This window comes from Homo sapiens, chromosome 17 (genome assembly GCF_000001405.40).
Source record: "Homo sapiens chromosome 17, GRCh38.p14 Primary Assembly".
Taxonomy (NCBI): domain Eukaryota; kingdom Metazoa; phylum Chordata; class Mammalia; order Primates; family Hominidae; genus Homo; species Homo sapiens.
Window position 1 is genome coordinate 16,373,756 of NC_000017.11, and position 18,884 is coordinate 16,392,639.

At 47.2% G+C, this 18,884-nt stretch overlaps 1 protein-coding gene, 1 long non-coding RNA gene and 1 pseudogene across 7 annotated transcripts, besides 2 other annotated features; 2 read left to right on the plus strand and 1 right to left on the minus strand.

Annotated features, from left to right (window-relative positions):
- On the minus strand, positions 4,352-5,591 carry LOC124903937 (uncharacterized). The gene is made up of 2 exons (XR_007065643.1): positions 5,051-5,591; positions 4,352-4,588 (listed from the first exon to the last, which is right to left on the minus strand). It is a non-coding gene; the product is annotated as an uncharacterized LOC124903937 (long non-coding RNA).
- UBB (ubiquitin B) lies at positions 7,024-8,990 on the plus strand. Of its 6 annotated transcripts, none has more exons than NM_001281716.2 (2): positions 7,024-7,281; positions 8,147-8,985. In NM_001281716.2, the coding sequence occupies exon 2, from the start codon at positions 8,153-8,155 to the stop codon at positions 8,840-8,842; it is 690 nt and encodes a 229-aa protein (NP_001268645.1). In that variant the 5' UTR covers positions 7,024-7,281; positions 8,147-8,152; the 3' UTR covers positions 8,843-8,985. The 6 variants fall into 6 exon arrangements, with proteins under 6 accessions (NP_001268645.1, NP_061828.1, NP_001268649.1 ...); NM_018955.4 differs by lacking the exon at positions 7,024-7,281 and adding an exon at positions 7,336-7,429; NM_001281720.2 differs by lacking the exon at positions 7,024-7,281 and adding an exon at positions 7,336-7,360.
- Positions 7,036-7,315: an enhancer, noted in NCBI's record as "active region_11755". NCBI's record gives its function as "activates an Ori minimal core promoter by ATAC-STARR-seq in GM12878 lymphoblastoid cells {active_cell/tissue: GM12878}" and the evidence as "EXISTENCE:reporter gene assay evidence [ECO:0000049][PMID:35858748]".
- Positions 13,638-14,227: an enhancer, noted in NCBI's record as "H3K27ac-H3K4me1 hESC enhancer chr17:16290707-16291296 (GRCh37/hg19 assembly coordinates)". NCBI's record gives its function as "activates a minimal SCP1, AML or CMV promoter by ChIP-STARR-seq in primed H9 embryonic stem cells {active_cell/tissue: H9 hESC(primed)}" and the evidence as "EXISTENCE:reporter gene assay evidence [ECO:0000049][PMID:30033119]".
- Positions 17,679-18,128, plus strand: FTLP12 (ferritin light chain pseudogene 12; annotated as a pseudogene).

An 18,884-nucleotide genomic window follows, 5' to 3' on the forward strand; every position in this document is an offset into this window, starting at 1 on the left:
GCTTTCAATGTCCAGTATCTGTTCTAAGTACTTTAGCCGTATTAATGCAACCATATGAGGCAGGTCCATTTAATCCTCAAAAACTTGGCCAAGTGGCTCACACCTGTAATCCTAGCACTTTGGGAGGTTGAGGCAGGCAGATCACCCGAGGTCAGGAGTTTGAGACCAGCCTGGCCAATATGGTGAAACCCTGTCTCTACTAAAAATACAAAAATCAGCCAGGTGTGGTGGTGCATGCCTGTAATCCCAGCCACTCAGGAGGCTGAGACAGGAGAATCACTTGAACCCGTGAGGCGGAGGCTGCAGTGAGCTGAGATTGTGCCACTGCCCTCCAGCCTGGGCAAGTCAGAATGAGACTGTATCTCAAAAATAAAAATAAATAAATAAATAAATAAATAAACTCTCGACATGAATTAACTCATTGAATTCTCCAACACCTCCTTAAGGTGGATACTCTTAGTCCTCACAGTGACCCCCTTATGGGCACTAAGACCATGGTTCTCTTGGGCGGAGTCCATATCCTGTCTCAGTCAGCAATCCAAATGCCTCTCACACCCAGAACTTGCTCAACAAATGTCTGCTGACTGGATGAATGACCTAATATCTTTCTCTTGGCTCAGGATTCAAACTTCAAGAGCATACAGTGCCCAGGAATAGCTGGCTGGAGGAATTTACGATAATGGTTGTAAAAGCGTTGTAGTATATACACATCAATGAGAACATAACATAAAGGCTGATTTAATATGTATAATCACTGCATTTCAAATGTGAGATAAACAAATTTCTCTATGTATCAGAGATTGTTTTATATATATATGCATGTATATATATATACACGTGTATATACACGTATATATATATACACGTGTATATACACGTATATATATACACGTGTATATATATATGGTCCCATAAGTGTAATCTATGTTTAAATGCAACACAGCTGGCCATAAATCTAATGCGTCTCGCTCTGTCACCCAGGTCGGAGCGCAGTGGCATAATCTTGGCTCACTGAAACCTCCACCTTCCGGGTTCAAGAGATTCTCCTGCCTCAGCCTCACAAGTAGCTGGGATTACAGGCACCCGCCACCACACCCGGCTAATTTTTTGTACTTTTAGTAAAGACTAGGTTTCACCATGCTGGCCAGGTTGGTCTCAACTCCTGGCATCAAGTGATCTGCCCACCTTGGCCTCCCAAAGTGCTGGGATTACAGGTGTGAACCACCATGCCTGATCTAATCTATGTTTAAATGTCCTATTTTGGCTGACTGCAACCTCCACCTCCTGGGCTCAAGCAGTCCTCCCACCTCAGCATCCCAGGTAGCTAGGACTACAGGTGCATGCCACCACACCCAGCTAACTGTTTTGTATTTTTGTAGAGATGGGGTTTCGCCATGTTGCCCAGACTAGTCTCAAACTCCTGAGCTCAAGGAATTCACCTGCCTCAGCCTCCCAAAATGCTGGGATTACAAGTGTGAGCCACCATGCCCAGCCGTAACATAACTTTCTGACAGCTTGGGAAATTGCTACAGCAAGCCTCAGTTTCTTGGTTTGTTGACTAGGCTTGAGAATTCCCTAGAAAAGTATAGGAAAAAATAAAATCTCAGTATCCCAAAGGGCAGCTCTGAAAAGAGCAATGGAAACTAGGCAAAAAGGCAAAGATTTAAGACTCACCTTAATTTGACAAGGTAGGATGACATCTAGTCCACATTTTTTTCTTTACAGATAAGGAAACCAAAGGTTAAAAATGAGTAAATCAGGCTGGGCACGGTGGCTCACGCCTGTAATCCTAGAATTTTGGGAGGCCAGGGCGGGCAAATCACAAGGTCAGGAGTTTGAGATTAGCCTGACCAATATGGTGAAACCCCGTCTCCACTAAAAATACAAAAAAAAAAAAAAAATTAGCCAGGCATGGTGGCGGGTGCCTGCAGTCGAGCTACTCAGGAGGCTGAGGCAGGAGAATCGCTTGAATCCCGTAGGCAGAGGTTTCAGTGAGCTGAGATCACACCACTTCAGTCCAGCCTGGGCGACAGAGCGAGACTCCGTCTCAAAAAAAAAAAAAAAAAGAAGGAAATTCTGTCACATGCTAAAACACGGATGAACCTTGAGGACATTATGCTAAATGAAATAAGCCAGTCCAGGCATGGTGGCTCATATCTGCAATCCCAGCACTTTGGGAGGCCGAGGTTGGAAATCGCTTGAACTCAGGAGTTTGAGACCAGCCTGGGCAACATGGTGAAACCTCATCTCTACAAAAAATACAAAAAAATTAGCCTGGTATGGTGATGTGTGCCTATAGCCCCAGCTACCTGTGGGGCTGAGGCAGGAGGATCACTTGAGCCTGGGAGGTCGAGGCTGTCACTACAGCCTCGTTCGCACCACCGCACTCCAGCCTAGGTAACAAAGCAAGGCCCTGTCTCAAAAATAAATAATTAAATAAATAAGCCAGTAACAAAAAGACAAATATTGTACAATTCCACTTACATGAGGCATTAAAGTGGTGAAACTCAGAGAGACAAAAAGTAGAATGGTGGATGCCAGGGTTGGGAGGAGGGGGAAAAGGGAGTTATTGTTCAGTATGGACAGAGCTTCAGTTTTACAAGATGAAAAAGTGCCAGAGATCTGTTGCACATGGCTGGGCGCGGTGGTTCACGCCTGTAATCCCAGCACTTTGGGAGGCCGAGGCAGGTGGATCACGAGGTCAGGAGATCGAGACCATCCTGGCTAACACAGTGAAACCCCGTCTCTACTAAAAAAACACAAAAAAATTAGCCGGGCCTGGTGGCAGGCGCCTGTAGTCCCAGCTACTCCGGAGGCTGAGGCAGGAGAATGGTGTGAACCCAGGAGGCGGAGCTTGCAGTGAGCCGAGATCGCGCCACTGCACTCCAACCTGAGTGAAAGAGCGAGACTCTGTCTCAAAAAAATAAATAAATAAATAAATAAATAAAGTTTTTTGTTTTTTGTTTTTTGTTTTTGAGACGGAGTCTCACTCTTGTTGCCCAGGCTGGAGTGCAATGACACGATCTTGGCTCACTGCAACCTCCGCCTCCCGGGTTCAAGCGATTCTCCTATCACAGCTTCCCAAGTAGCTGGGATTACAGGCATGCACCACCATGCCTGGCTAATTTTGTATTTTAGTAGAGACAGGGTTTCGCCATGTTGGCCAGGCTGGTTTCGAACCCCTGACCTCAGGTGATCCACCTCCTGTCCTCAGGTGATCTGGCCTCCCAAAGTGCTGAGATTACAGGCTGAGCCACTGTGCCCGGCCAAAAATAAAGGTTTTTAAGTGCTTAAGCAAATCAGGGATTATATGGTATTTGCTATATTACCTCCATCTTTCATGTATTTATGTAATATTTCATGATAAAAATATTGTAGCCAGGCAGAGCAACTTGTGTGTGTAATCCCACCTACTTGGAAGGCTGACACAGGAGGATCGCTTGAGCCCAGGAGTTGGAGGCTGAAGTAAGCTATGATTGCACCACTGCACTCCAGCCTGGGCAATAGATACTCTAAAATAGATAATAAATAAATAAATAAAAATGTTAAAAACATTTAAAGTAGCTATTTTTTGTATGTTTGTATTTGAGATGGAGTCTCACTCTGTTGCCCAGGCTGGAGCGCAGTGGCGTGATCTCAGCTCACTGCAACCTCCACCTCCTGGGTTCAAGGGATTCTCATGCCTCAGCCTCCCAAATAGTTGGGAACACAGGTGTGCGTCACCACACCCGGCTAATTTTTGTATTTTTAGTAGAGATGAGGTTTTGCCATGTTGGCCAGGCTGGTCTTGAACTCCTGGGCTCAAGAGATCCATCTGCCTCACCCTCCCAAAGTGCTGGGATTACAGGCGTGAGCCACTGCAATCTGCCCAAATTAGCTATTTTTTAATGGATAGATTTCTGTACTTTTGAGGCCTAACATGAAAACAGTACAGATTTTGCTCTGTGTTCCTTTGGGCATTCAATATCAAAGTTTCTAACTTGCTTGTAATAAATTAGGAGTTCATTATGTAATTGTATTGAAATAAATAGCCAAATGTGAAATATAAAGGAATTGACAAATCAGAGACTAATTCCACACTTTAAATATCACCAAATAATGTCAAGAAAACAACTGTGAACTTTTAATTGGAACTATAGTTTTCTCACAGATTTTTATTAAAAGGCATCTAGCCAAGTAAAATCACTTAGAATCTCAGAATCAATCCCCCTTTGTTTCTTTTGAAGGAACTGCCAAGGCAAATAGCATTTGCCTATGGAGATGAAATACAGTACTCTACTGTGTTTTTGCTTTGTGTTTTAAGGCTGTCACAAAGTTTCTTTTCTCCAGTTGAACAAAAGAGAAGATTGCATTTTAGTCACTGAACAAACATTTATTGAGCACAGTGCCAAGTATTGTGCCAGATTACCAAATTCCTAATCTTAGGTTACCAAATGACCTACTTCGGGAAAACATTGAACCAGGAGCCTGTATAACTAACTTACAGTTCTGGCAACTGCTAGAACTTCCCAGTGAAGTCATTATACCAGTCATGAGATCTGCCTTCTAGCTCAATCTGCGATCAACATGTATGATTCAGGAGGAGCTGCTGGTTGGTGAAACAAATTCAGAATCACTGTTAGGCTAACAAAAACGAAAATCCATACTTTATATAATAAAATAAACGTTTTATAAACTACCTCCCAAGTCGTTCAAAATCACTTCCAAAATTATCTTAAACTGTTTATTTCTATCTCCTGCTTATTCACATCAGTAGACAGTAGATCCCGGTTTTAGTTAATTTAACTGAAAGCTGTCTAGGTGTTAACTCATATACCAGCTCATTTGTCGACATAGCTTCTCAACGTTATGCTCAGGTATGTTGAAATTTAGTAATTAGCGACCTTTCTAAGAGATGTTTACTTAATTGTATTAATACACACATTTCTAGACTACTTCTTACATTATGAAGGTTGGTATCACGTGAAAAACAGCCAATTTCATGTTTACTTCCACCCCACCCCCGTGACTGTGCCAGGCACCAGGATCCAAACACATCTGCCTTACTCACCTTCCTTGGGTTATCTCCTTGCAGGACGAGTGGCCACACCCAGGGTGTAGGGAAACCCGTTGCTTGGTCCTAGCTGGTTAACCTCACCCTTGCACAACAAGCACGTCAATGGGAGCAGGATCAGCTACTTTCTTGTAGGTGAATTCCCGTTTTTGAAGTGGGGTTTCGGCTCCCTAATCTGCACTTTTTTTTTTCCTACCAGTTTGGAGAAACAGCTGGGAAGAACTGGATTTGCAGGTATTGCTGGAGCCAGAGCGAAGCCCGGCCACTGTCACCATGGGCTCCAGCCTCGCCTCTCTGGGCCTGGTGGTGAGCGGCTTCAGCAACAGGTTTCCGGTCCCCGCAGAGGGTCCCACTCTGAACTCCCGATTTACAGACTGTTCTCGGGCCGTGATGAGGATTAAGACAATGCAACTAAGAGCACTCTGACTACAGAAGCATGATTTAAAGCTCCACAACCCTGCAATAACCACGAAGAAAAATAAAAAGCGGCTAGTCCGCCAGGCACGGTGGTTCATGCCTGTAATCCTAGCACTTTGGGAGCCCGAGGCAGGCGGATCTCCTGAGCCCAAGAGTTCAGTAACAGCCTGGGTAACATAGCAAGACTCTGATCTAACAACAAAAAAAAATTAGACCAGGAACAGTGGCTCACATCTGTAATCCCAGCACTTTGGGAGGCCGAGGCAGGCAGATCACCTGAGGTCAGGAGTTCGAGACCAGCCTGACCAACGTGGTGAAACCCCATCTGTACTAAAAAATACAAAAATTAGCCAGGCATGGTGACACGCACCTGTAATCCCAGCTACTCAGGAAGCTGAGGCAGGAGAATCGCTTGAACCAGGGAGGTGGAGGTTGCAGTGAGCCACATCACGCCACTGGCCTTCAGCCTGGGTGACAGAGTGAGACTCCGTCTCAAAAAATAAATACAAAATTAAAAAGCCAGGCGTGGTCCACGGTCCCAGCCACTTGGGAGGCTGAGGTGGCAGGATAACTTGAGCCCTGGAGGTCAAGGCTGCAGTGAACGGTGATCACACCACTGCACACCAGCCTGGGGACACAGCCAGACTTTGTCACAAAAAAGCAAAAACAACTGGCCAGTGTATGAGGGGCTCGTGTTTTTTGTTTGTCTGTTTGTTGAGACAGAGTCTCACTCTGTCGCCAGACTGGAATGCAGTGGCACATTCTCGGCCCACTGCAATCTCTGCCTCCTAGGTTCAAGCAATTATCTGCCTCAGCCTCCCAAGTAGCTGGGATTACAGGCGCCCGCCACCACGCCCGGCTAATTTTTTTGTATTTTTAGTAGAGACGGGGTTTCACCACCTTGGCCAGGCTGGTCTTGAACCCCTGACCTCATGATCCACCCGCCTCGGCCTCCCAAAGTGCTGGGATTACAGGCGTGAGCCTCCGCGCCCGGCCAGGGGCGCGCGTTTTTAAAACATGGGAGAGGGAATTGTGCTTCACAATCACCATCAGGTGTCTCGATATCGGGTGCCACGCCGTCCCGCTTCTGAGGCGCGGCGGCCCACTTTGGCAGGCCGAGGCGGGTGGATTACCTGAGGTCAGGAGTTCGAGACCAGCCTGACAAACATGGTGAAACCCCCGTCTCTACTAAAAATACAAAAAATTAGCCGGACGTGGTGGCGCATGCCTGTAATCCCAGCTACTTGGGAGGCTGAGGCAGGAGAATCGCTTGAACCCGGGAGGCGGAGGTTGCGATGAGCCGAGATCGCGCCATTGCACTCCAGCCTGGGAAACAAGAGCGAAACTCCGTCTCAAGAAAAAAAAGGAAAGACCCCCCCTCCTTCTCCCGCCGGAAATACCCTCTTTCAGGACGGCGCGCCTGTGCGGCGCACGCGCGCTCAGTTACTTAGCAACCTCGGCGCTAAGCCACCCCAGGTGGAGCCCAGCAACAACAGAGCCACCGCGTCCCCCACCAATCAGCGCCGACCTCGCCTTCGCAGGCCTAACCAATCAGTGCCGGCGCTGCAAGGAAGTTTCCAGAGCTTTCGAGGAAGGTTTCTTCAACTCAAATTCATCCGCCTGATAATTTTCTTATATTTTCCTAAAGAAGGAAGAGAAGCGCATAGAGGAGAAGGGAAATAATTTTTTAGGAGCCTTTCTTACGGCTATGAGGAATTTGGGGCTCAGTTGAAAAGCCTAAACTGCCTCTCGGGAGGTTGGGCGCGGCGAACTACTTTCAGCGGCGCACGGAGACGGCGTCTACGTGAGGGGTGATAAGTGACGCAACACTCGTTGCATAAATTTGCGCTCCGCCAGCCCGGAGCATTTAGGGGCGGTTGGCTTTGTTGGGTGAGCTTGTTTGTGTCCCTGTGGGTGGACGTGGTTGGTGATTGGCAGGATCCTGGTATCCGCTAACAGGTACTGGCCCGCAGCCGTAACGACCTTGGGGGGGTGTGAGAGGGGGGAATGGGTGAGGTCAAGGTGGAGGCTTCTTGGGGTTGGGTGGGCCGCTGAGGGGAGGGCGTGGGGGAGGGGAGGGCGAGGTGACGCGGCGCTGGGCCTTTCCGGGACAGTGGGCCTTGTTGACCTGAGGGGGGCGAGGGCGGTTGGCGCGCGCGCGCGTTGACGGAAACTAACGGACGCCTAACCGATCGGCGATTCTGTCGAGTTTACTTCGCGGGGAAGGCGGAAAAGAGGTAGTTTGTGTGGTTTCTGGAAGCCTTTACTTTGGAATCCCAGTGTGAGAAAGGTGCCCCTTCTTGTGTTTCAATGGGATTTTTATTTCGCGAGTCTTGTGGGTTTGGTTTTGTTTTCAGTTTGCCTAACACCGTGCTTAGGTTTGAGGCAGATTGGAGTTCGGTCGGGGGAGTTTGAATATCCGGAACAGTTAGTGGGGAAAGCTGTGGACGCTTGGTAAGAGAGCGCTCTGGATTTTCCGCTGTTGACGTTGAAACCTTGAATGACGAATTTCGTATTAAGTGACTTAGCCTTGTAAAATTGAGGGGAGGCTTGCGGAATATTAACGTATTTAAGGCATTTTGAAGGAATAGTTGCTAATTTTGAAGAATATTAGGTGTAAAAGCAAGAAATACAATGATCCTGAGGTGACACGCTTATGTTTTACTTTTAAACTAGGTCAAAATGCAGATCTTCGTGAAAACCCTTACCGGCAAGACCATCACCCTTGAGGTGGAGCCCAGTGACACCATCGAAAATGTGAAGGCCAAGATCCAGGATAAGGAAGGCATTCCCCCCGACCAGCAGAGGCTCATCTTTGCAGGCAAGCAGCTGGAAGATGGCCGTACTCTTTCTGACTACAACATCCAGAAGGAGTCGACCCTGCACCTGGTCCTGCGTCTGAGAGGTGGTATGCAGATCTTCGTGAAGACCCTGACCGGCAAGACCATCACCCTGGAAGTGGAGCCCAGTGACACCATCGAAAATGTGAAGGCCAAGATCCAGGATAAAGAAGGCATCCCTCCCGACCAGCAGAGGCTCATCTTTGCAGGCAAGCAGCTGGAAGATGGCCGCACTCTTTCTGACTACAACATCCAGAAGGAGTCGACCCTGCACCTGGTCCTGCGTCTGAGAGGTGGTATGCAGATCTTCGTGAAGACCCTGACCGGCAAGACCATCACTCTGGAGGTGGAGCCCAGTGACACCATCGAAAATGTGAAGGCCAAGATCCAAGATAAAGAAGGCATCCCCCCCGACCAGCAGAGGCTCATCTTTGCAGGCAAGCAGCTGGAAGATGGCCGCACTCTTTCTGACTACAACATCCAGAAAGAGTCGACCCTGCACCTGGTCCTGCGCCTGAGGGGTGGCTGTTAATTCTTCAGTCATGGCATTCGCAGTGCCCAGTGATGGCATTACTCTGCACTATAGCCATTTGCCCCAACTTAAGTTTAGAAATTACAAGTTTCAGTAATAGCTGAACCTGTTCAAAATGTTAATAAAGGTTTCGTTGCATGGTAGCATACTTGGTGTTTTGTCATGAAATTCTCTAGTGATGTGTGGGTACGCTTAAAACTGGTGAAAATGTTTAGGGATTTAATTTTGAGATTGGTAATGTGCTCAAAGTTAAGTCACTTGACTTTGGTATACACTTGGGTGGGCTGAGGGGCAAGAGCCTTCTTTGCTGTTTAAGTCATTACAAGTTAGGATCCTGGGTAAATGGCAAACTTTCTGAAGCTCGAATTTAAAGTCTGTTGGGAGGCCGAGGCAGGCGGATCACGAGGTCAAGATATGGAGACCACCCTGGCCAACATGGTGAAACCTTGTCTCTACTAAAAGAAAAAAATTAGCTGGGCGTCGTGTCGCCTGCCTGTAGTCCCAGCTATTCGGGAGGCTGAGGCAGGAGAATCACTTGAACCTGGGAGGCAGAGGTTGCAGTGAGCCGAGATCGTGCCACTGCACCCCAGCCTGGCGACAGAGCAAGACAACATCTCAAAAAGTTGGATATGCAGGCTTTTTAAAAGATGGTCTTGCTCTGTAGTCCAGACTGGTATACAGTGGCACGATGACAGCTCACTATCATTCCTGGGCTCAAGTGATTGCAGGCATTTTCTTTACATTGAAGGAAAGCAAATGTGCCTGTTGAGACCTAATCAAGGATTGCTGGAGAAACAAAGTTTTGATTGAGGCTGCTTGAATAGTGGTAACGTAACTGCTTTCAGTTCTGCAATTAATTGGGTGACTATGAGCTGTGTGTTTATTGCTCTGTAGTGTATTACACCAAAGTGTTTAACCTGGGTGGTAGTATGGGACCATAATCTTGTCTCTTTGCTGTATATGCTTTAACTGATGAGCCAAGCAGCAGCTAATCACCGAGTATGGAAGACGACTGGCTGAGGAGAAAGATGGCTTGCAGGTACTTAATGTTGAAAACGGTATTCTGATCTAAGACAATCTTCCTGATCTTGATAAGTTAGGTGGCAAGTTAAAGTGGTTCCTCACTTTTTTTTTGGACAGTCTCTCTTGCCCCAGGCTGGAGTGCAGTGGTGCGATCTCGGCTCACTGCAACCTCCACCTCCCAGGTTCAAGCAGTTCTCCTGCCTCAGTCCCCCACATAGCTGGGACTACAGGGGCACACCAGCTAATTTTTGTATTTTCAGTAGAGTTGGGGTTTTACCATGTTGACCAAGCTGGTCTCAAACTCCTGGCCTCAAGTGATCCGCCCACCTTGACCTCTCAAAGTGCTGGGATTACAGGCATGAGCCATCACGCCCGGCCACGCTGTTGGTTCTTAATGACACAGCTTAACTTTATTGTGAAAAGATTGCAGCAACAAATGAGATTTTACCTGTATTTGTTAAAAATGCTTATCCTTGTCTAAGACTGGCAACATAAGCAGTTCTTAGGCTTCTATGCCAATGGACACTAGGCAGTAATACATGTGCAGTGCTAATAGAAAATATTGGAGTAAGGGTGTACTAAGGAAGTTCTCAATCTTTCCCCTTCACTATCTTCTGTAATGTAACTTCAATAAATGTGATTCTCATCTTGGCACAAAATTGGGAATGGTGTGGGGAGCGCTGTTTTTCCCAGGTTTATAGTAGAGAAATAATGTTTTCTGGTACTAAAACTGGCATGGTAAGTGCATACTTAGAGTAAGGACTTTAAATCACGGGCCAGTTAATCTCTAGTTAGTGGTTTGGTACGCAAGAAGTACCCATGGGTGTATTACACAAATGCAGGAATACCATATCTAGAAATACACCTTTGATATTCATAGTGTACCTGAGAATGGTTTCACGCATAATTTTAGGTAAACTGCCTTAGTCACTCTGGTTTTACGGATCTTTGCCCACAGTTCCTCGTTCATAACTTCTATAGCCCTTGTTATAGTCATGTTGTGTGTGTTAGGCCACAGGAAACTCACTTCACTTCTGCCCTTTTACCTTCACTAAGACGGGACTCTTGATCTTCCCCTACCTTTCTGTGAGTCCTAAGACCCCCATTTCAGAGAGGGTTCTGTCCTATACTCTGCGGAAAGGAATGCTGTCATCTTGAAGCCTCCCTACAAAACCAAGAGGACTGAGTTTGGATATGTGAACGTATGGAGGTTCCTGGAGGATGGCACACCCAGGCAAGGCATTAAAGCTTTGCACCCTTTCCCCCATACCTTGTCCTATGCATCTCTTCAACTGAGTCCTTTGTAATATCTTTATAATAAAGCAAATGTGGCCAGGCGTGGTGGCTGATACCTATAATCCCAGCACTTTGGGAGGTGGAGGTGGGAGGATCACTTGAGGCTAGAGCTTGGGGCCAGACTGGGCAATGGGCTCTTGACAAAACAAAACAAAAAAGTTTAAATGGGCTTGGTGACATATACCTGTAGTCCTAGCTACTTGGGAAGCTTAGGTGGAAGAATTGCTTTTGAGTCCAGGAGTTCCAGGCCAGCCTAACACAGCAAGATCTTGTCACTAAAAATCTAGCTTTTCAAACCTGGAAAATTACTAAAAATACAAAAATTAGCCAGGCATGGTGGTGCACGTCTGTAGGCCCAGCTACTAGGGAGACTGAGGTAGGAGAATCACTTGAACCTGGGAAGCGGAGCTTGCAGTGAGCCAAGATCTCCCCATTGCATTCCAGTCTGGCCGTCGCAAAAAAAAAAAAGTATCCAGTAAAAACTCCCCTCTCACCTTTCCTTGTATCCCCAGAAGAAACCGTTTAATGAGAGTATATGTTTTCATTTATTTATTCATTCAACAAATATTAGGTGTTTGCCGTTTTTTTTAAAAAAAAATTTAATTTTTTAGAGACAGGGTCTCACTCTGTGGCCCTGCCTGGAGTACAGTGACACAATCATAGCTTACTACAGCCTTAAACTCCCGGGCTGAAGCGATCCACCCGAGGAGCTAGGACTACAGGCACCTGCCACTATGCCAGGCTAATTAAAAAACTTTTTTCTTCTTCTTCTTTTTTTTTTTTTTTTTTTTTTTTTGAGATGGAGTCTCGCTCTGTCCTACAGGCTGGAGTGCAGTGGCGCGATCTCGGCTCACTGCAACTCCGCCTCCCAGTTTCAAGCAATTCCCTGGCTCAGCCTTCGGAGTAGCTGGGACTGCAGGCGACTGCCATCACGCCTGTCTAATTTTTTGTATTTTTAGTAGAGACGGGGTGTCACCATGTTGGCCAGGCTGGTCTTGAACTCCTGACCTCAGGTGATCCACCCGTCTCGGCCTCCCAAAGTGCTGGGGTTACAGGCGTGAGCCACGGCGCCAGGCCTTTTTTTTTTTTTTTTTAGATGGAGTCTTGATGTGTTGCCCAGGCTGGAGTGCAGTGGTGCTGTCTCCGCTCACTGCAAGCTCCGCCTGCCAGGTTCACGCCATTCTCCTGCCTCAGCCTCCCGAGTAGCTGGGACTATAGGCACGTGCGACCACACCCAGCTAATTTTTTTGTATTTTTAGTAGAGAGGGGGTTTCACCGTGTTAGCCAGGATGGTCTCGATTTCCTGACTTCGTGATCCGCCTGCCTCAGCCTTTCAAAGTACTGGGATTACAGGCGTGAGCCACCGCGCCCGGCGGAGGCATTTTTTTTTTCTTTTAAAGAGATGGGGGTCTCACTGAGCACCGTGGCTCACGTCTGTAATCCCCAGGACTTTGGGAGGCCGAGGCGAGGGGATAGCTTGAGCCCAGGACTCGAGACGAGCCTGGACGACATAGCAAGACTTCGTTTCTGAAAAAAATACAAGCATTTTGAACCCAGGAGGCGAAGGTTGCAGTGAGCCGAGATCGCGTCACTGCACTCCAGCCTGGGCGACAGAGCGAGACTTCGTCTCAAAAAAAAAAAAAAAAAAAACACAAGCATTTGGCAGGCAAAGTGGCGCACGCCTGTGGTTCCAGCCACTCTGGAGGCTGAGGTGGGAGGATCGCTTGAGCCAGGGAGTTTGAGGCTGCCGTGAGCGGTGATCGCGCAACTGCACTCCAGCCTGGGGGACAGAGCCAGAACTTGTCTCAAAAAAACAAAAAACAAAAAACTGGCCAGTGTGTGAGGGGCGCGCGATTTTTTGAGATGTGAGAGGGAATTGTGCTTCACGGTCACCACCAGGTGTCGCGACATCAGGTGCCGCGCCGTCCCGCTTCTGAGGCGCGGTGGCCTGAGAAACTGGTTGCAGAGCCCGCTCTTCCTAGCCTACTGCCCGAAAACGCAGAATTTGGGGAATTGGAACTTTGGAGGCGGGAGCGAAAGACCTCTCCTTCTCCCGCCGGAAATACCCCTCTTTTGGGAAGCGCGCCCCTGCCTTCCGGAAAGGAAGAAACGTGATCACGCCGCTGCACTCAAGCCTCTGGGTGATAGAGCGAGAAGACCCTGTCTCCAAAACACAAACACACAAACAAACAAAAAGGTAATGGGGGCCGGGCGCGGTGGCTCACGCCTGTAATCCCAGCACTTTGGGAGGCCGAGGCGGGCGGATCACGAGGTCAGGAGATCGAGACCATCCTGCCTAACACGGTGAAACCCTGTCTCTACTAAAAATACAAAAAATTAGCCGGGCGAGGTGGCGGGCGCCTGTAGTCCCAGCTACTCGGGAGGCTGAGGCAGGAGAATCGCGTGAACCCCGGGGGCGGAGCCTGCAGTGAGCCGAGATCGCGCCACTGCACTCCAGCCTGGGTGAAAGAGCGGAGACTCCGTCTGAAAACAAACAAACAAACAAACAAAAAAAAGGTAATGGGGGGCCGGGCGCGGTAGCTCATGTCTATAATCCCAGCACTTTGGGAGGCCGAGGCGGGTGGATCACCTGAGGTCAGCAGTTCGAGACCAGCCTGGCCAACATGGTGAAACCCTGTCTCTGCTAAAAACATAAAAAAAATAGCTGGGCGTGGTGGCAGGCGCCTGTAATCCCAGCTACTCAGGAGACTGAGGCAGGAGAATCGCTTGAACCCAGGAAGCGGAGGTTGCAGTGGGCTGAGATCACACCATTGCGCTCCAGCCTGGGCCACAAGAATGAAACTCTGTCTCAAAAAAAAAAAAAAAAAAAAAAAAAGGTAATAGGAACATTGCTGGTAATTGCTGTGTGAGGACACCATAATGCCTGTCTTTCTGACCTTCTTTCTGACCACCATTTATTACCTGTCTTTCTGAACTTCTATGCCAATGTAAACATGCATATGTGTATAGATATCTCCATATATAGTTACTCTCACCTTGTTCACAGCTGCATTCACACTAGATATACCATTTTCTCCTTCAAATAATGTTATTGCTAACTATGAATGTAATACATGCTCAGTGTAGGAAATTTGGGAAATATAGAAAAAGAAAGCACTCATTATCCCTGCGATCCAAGTATATTCAGTTTGGCATGTTTCCTCTTTTCCCAGTTAATTTTTTACTTAAATAACAATGGATACAATACAAGTTGTAAGGACTCGACCAGCAGATACATAGAGAGTGAGTAAAAACACTGAAGTCCTTTTTCAGCGTCCCTTCCCAGCTGTCCTCTTCCCACGCATCTTTTTCTGTGCCACTTGCTAGAAGTTTGGTGTATTTACCACCAGATTGTTTTCAGTGTGTCACATATGTTTGTGTTATATAAAAACATACTTTAAAAATTATATATAAATGGAATTATACATTATATACCCATCTTTCTTGGAGACATTTCCATGCTAGCACATATAGATGTGCCTTATTCTTTTCAAACTGCTGCAAAATATTTCATGGAATAGATACACCGTATTTTACCCTTCTCCTTACTGATGGTATTTAGATTGTTTCTAATTTTTTACTATTAAAACAATACTGCAATTAATATCCTTGTAAATGTCTCTTGTAACAAATGTGCAAGTATTTCTTCAGGATATACTAGAAGTAGAATTGCTGTATCAAAGATTATGGCATTTAATAATTGGGGATTATTACGAAATTACCCTTCAAAAGACTGTACAACAATGGAATATTATTCAGCCTTAAAAGGAAGAAAATTCATTTAGCAGAGCAGAAACTGAAAAATGAAAAAGGAACTTCTGCCTGGGCGCGGTGGCTCATGCCTGTAATTCCAGCACTTTGGGAGGCCGAGGCAGGCGGATCACGAGGTCAACAGATGCAGACCATCCTGGCCATCATGGTGAAACCCCGTCTCTACTAAAAATACAAAAATTAGCTGGGCATGGTGGCGTGCACCTGGAGTTCCACTTAGCTACTTGGGAAGCTGAGGCAGGAGAATCGCTTGAACCCGGGAAGCGGAGGTTGCAGTGAGCCGAGATCAGGGCACTGCACTCCAGCCTGGAGACAGAGTGAGACTCTCAAAAAAAAAAAAAAAAAAACTGCTGGGCGCAGTGGCTCACGCCAGTAATCCCAACACTTTGGGAGGCCAAGGCGGGACGATCACTCGAGGTCTTGAGTTCCAGACCAGCCTGGCCAATATGGTGAAACTCTGTCTCTACTAAAAATGCAAAAATTAGCTGGGTGTGGTGGCGCATGCCTGTAATCCCAGTTACTCGGGAGGCTGAGGTAGGAGAATCGCTTGAACCTGAGAGGCAGAAGTTGCAGTGAGCCAAGATTGAGCCATTGCACTCTAGCCTGGGCAACAGAGTGAGAGACTCCATCTCAAAAAAAAAAAAAAAAAGACCAGCCTTGCCAACGTGGTGAAACCTGTCTCTACTACAAATACAAAAATTAGCTGGTCGTCGTGGCAGGCGCCTGTAATCCCAGCTACTCTGGAAGCTGAGGCAGGAGAATCTCTTGAACCTGGGAGGCGAGGCAGTGGTTGCAGTGAGCCGAGATCATGCCATTGCACTTCAGCCTGAGCAACAAGATCAAACCTCTGTCTCAAAAAAAAAACAAACAAAAAAAACTTCTGACACATATTACCACATGGATGAATCTTAAAGACATTACACTAAATGAAACAAGACAGGCACAAAAGGAAAAATACTGTGTGATTCCACTATATGAGGTAGCTAGAGTAGTCAGACTCATAAAGACGTAAAGTAGAATGGTGGCTGCCAGGAGCTGGGAAAGGAGGGAATGGGGAGTTAGTGTTTAATGGGGACACAGTTTCAGTTTTGCAAGATGAAAAGAGTTCTGGAGATGGATGGTGGTGATGGTCACACACAATGAATATTAAGTAATGCTACCAAACTGTACACTTAAAAATGGCTTCAATGGTACATTTTTTGTTATTTATAGTTGATCACAATTTTTTTTTTTTTTTGAGACAGAGTTTTGCTCTAGTTGCCCAGGCTGGAGTGCAATGGCGCGATCTTGGCTCACTGCAACCTCCACCTCCCAGGTTCAAGCGATTCTCCTGTCTCAGCCTTCCCAAGTAGCTAGGATTATAGGCATGCGCCACCAAGCCTGGCTAATTTTGTATTTTTAGTAGAGATGGGGTTTCTCCATGTGGGCCAGGCTGGTCTTGAACTCCTGACCTCAGGTGATCCGCCCACCTCGGCCTCCCAAAGTGCTGGGATTACAGGCGTGAGCCCCCGTGCCCGGCCTGATCACAATTTTTAAAAAGACTGTACCAATATCAATTCCCACCAATACTGCATAAGAGAGAGTATCTAGTCCTCCACCACTTCATTAATATTATACATTATGAATCATTTCAACTTTGGACACGTTGAGGGGCAAAAAGAACACTTTATTGTTTTAATTTGCATGTGCCCGATTACTTCTGCCATTGGATACCTTTTGAATGTTTATTTAACATTAATTTGTCTTGCGAATTATCTGTTCATTTCCTTTGCCCAATTTTAGTATGAATTTGTATGACTTCTTTATATGTTCTAACAACTAATAATTTATCTAATTGTGGTAAATATTGTCTTTCAGACTTACTTCACTTTTTTTTTTTTTTTTTTTTTTGAGACAGTGTCTCACTCTGTTGTCCAGGCTGGAGTGCAGTGGTGTGATCTCAGCTCACTGCAGCCTTCACCTCCTGGGTTCAAGACTCCCAAGTAGCTGGGCTTACAGGCACACGCCACCACACCCGGCTAATTTTTGTATTTTTAGTAGAGATGGGGTTTCACCATGTTGGCCAGGCTGGTCTCAAACTCCTGGCCTCAAGTGATCTGCCTGCCTCAGCCTTCCAAAGTGCTGGGATTACCGGCCTGAGCCACTGTGCCTGGCCTTACTTCACTTTTCAATTATGGTGTCTTTTGTAAAAACAGAAGTTTTTAATTAAAAAAAAATGCTCCCATCTCTCCAAAGATAAAAAATTAGCTGGGCGTGGTAGCACACACCTGTGGTCCCAGCTATTCGGGAGACTGAGGTGGGAGGATCACTTGAGCCCAGGGGGCCGAGGCTGCAGTGAGCTGTGATCTCCCCACTGCTCTCCAGCCTGGGAGACAGAGCAAGACCCTGTCTCAATCATCATCATCATCATCTGACAATCTTTTTCTTTATGGCTTCTGGGCCAAAGGAATAAATGAAGGTATAAGGCTTGTTGATAACTATTAATAACACACATTAAAAAAAAAACTATGCATAACACACATTCGAAATCTACAGCGCGTTGCCTGAAGTTAGCATGTTGGGTTCTGGCTCTGTCTTTTGCTTCAACAGTGTTTGGAACGAACAGACCAGGGGGCTCCCTCTTCCAGCCTCTGATCGCCTCCCATCTCCTTTCCACTTGAGCCTCCAAGACCATCTTCTTGGCAACCTCCTGCTTCTGGGCCCAGCCAACACCGTTTTTGTGGTTATCTGCTTCTTGTCCCCAAGCATGAGCTCCCAGATGTGTCAGAATCATTCCACCCAGGCGGAGGCAACCACTAACTGCCTGGTCAACTGGCATCTCTCTGGGCTTCTACTTCAGCCGTGACGATGTGGCTCTGGAAGGTGAACTGGCCAAGCGTCTCTGGAAGATGCAAAGCCAGCATGGCAGCCCGCTCTTCTGCAGGACCTGCAGATGAGATGAGTGGGATAAAACCCTGGATGCCGCGGGGGCAGCCTTGGCCCTGGAGAGGAGCCTGAACCAGCCTATTCTGGGTCTTCACGCCCTGGGTTCTGCTGGCACAGACCTCATCTCTGGGACTTCCTAGAGAGGCCTTTCCTAGATGTGGGAGTGAAACTCGTCAAGAGAGTGGATGATCGCCTGACCTCTGCGGGCTGGCCGCCCGGAGCTGGGTCAAGCAACTGTCTTTTCCAAAGTCTTGCCACCCTCAAGCACGACTGGGAGCCTAGCGAGCCCAGCGACCTCTGAGAGGCTCCTCTCAAACGATCAGGGTTTCTGCCTGCCTGAGCCTCCCCCTCCAGCCACTAGGCAGCTTTTTAACACCCTGGAGCCCTCTCCCAAGCCTGGACCAAATTTGCAGGGACAAAAGCGGGGCAGGGGCTGGGGTGGGGAAATCAAATTAATGACCTTCTTAGGGTAAAGATGTTTCAGGAAGAGGAAACCTGCCATCCCACAACCCCTAGACCATAATAGCATTTATTCCTTCCAGGGATCAACAAACCAGTGACAGAGAGACTCTGGAGCCATTGAAATCTACTGATTGAGGCCAGGCACGGTGGCTCACGCCTGTAATCCCAGCACTTTGGGAGGCCAAGGCGGGAGGATCACAAGGTCAGGAGTTGGAGACCAGACTGGCCAACATAGCAAAACCCCATCTCTACTAAAAATACAAAAAAAAAATTAGCCAGACGTGGTGGCAGGTGCCTGTAATCCCAGCTATTCAGGAGGCTGAGGCAGGAGAACCACTTGAACCTGGGAGGCAGAGGTTGCAGTGAGCCGAGATCGTGCCATTGTACTTCAGCCTAGGCGATAAGAGCAAGACTCCATCTCAAAAAAAAAAAAAGAAAAATCTACTGATTAATGCCTATCTTAACTCCAGTGTCAATAGTAGCTTTGACAAACGCCTTTTATATCATGTGGCTATACTTTGCCAAGCATACTGAGCACTATTATAATTGTTTCCTAATACCCCAT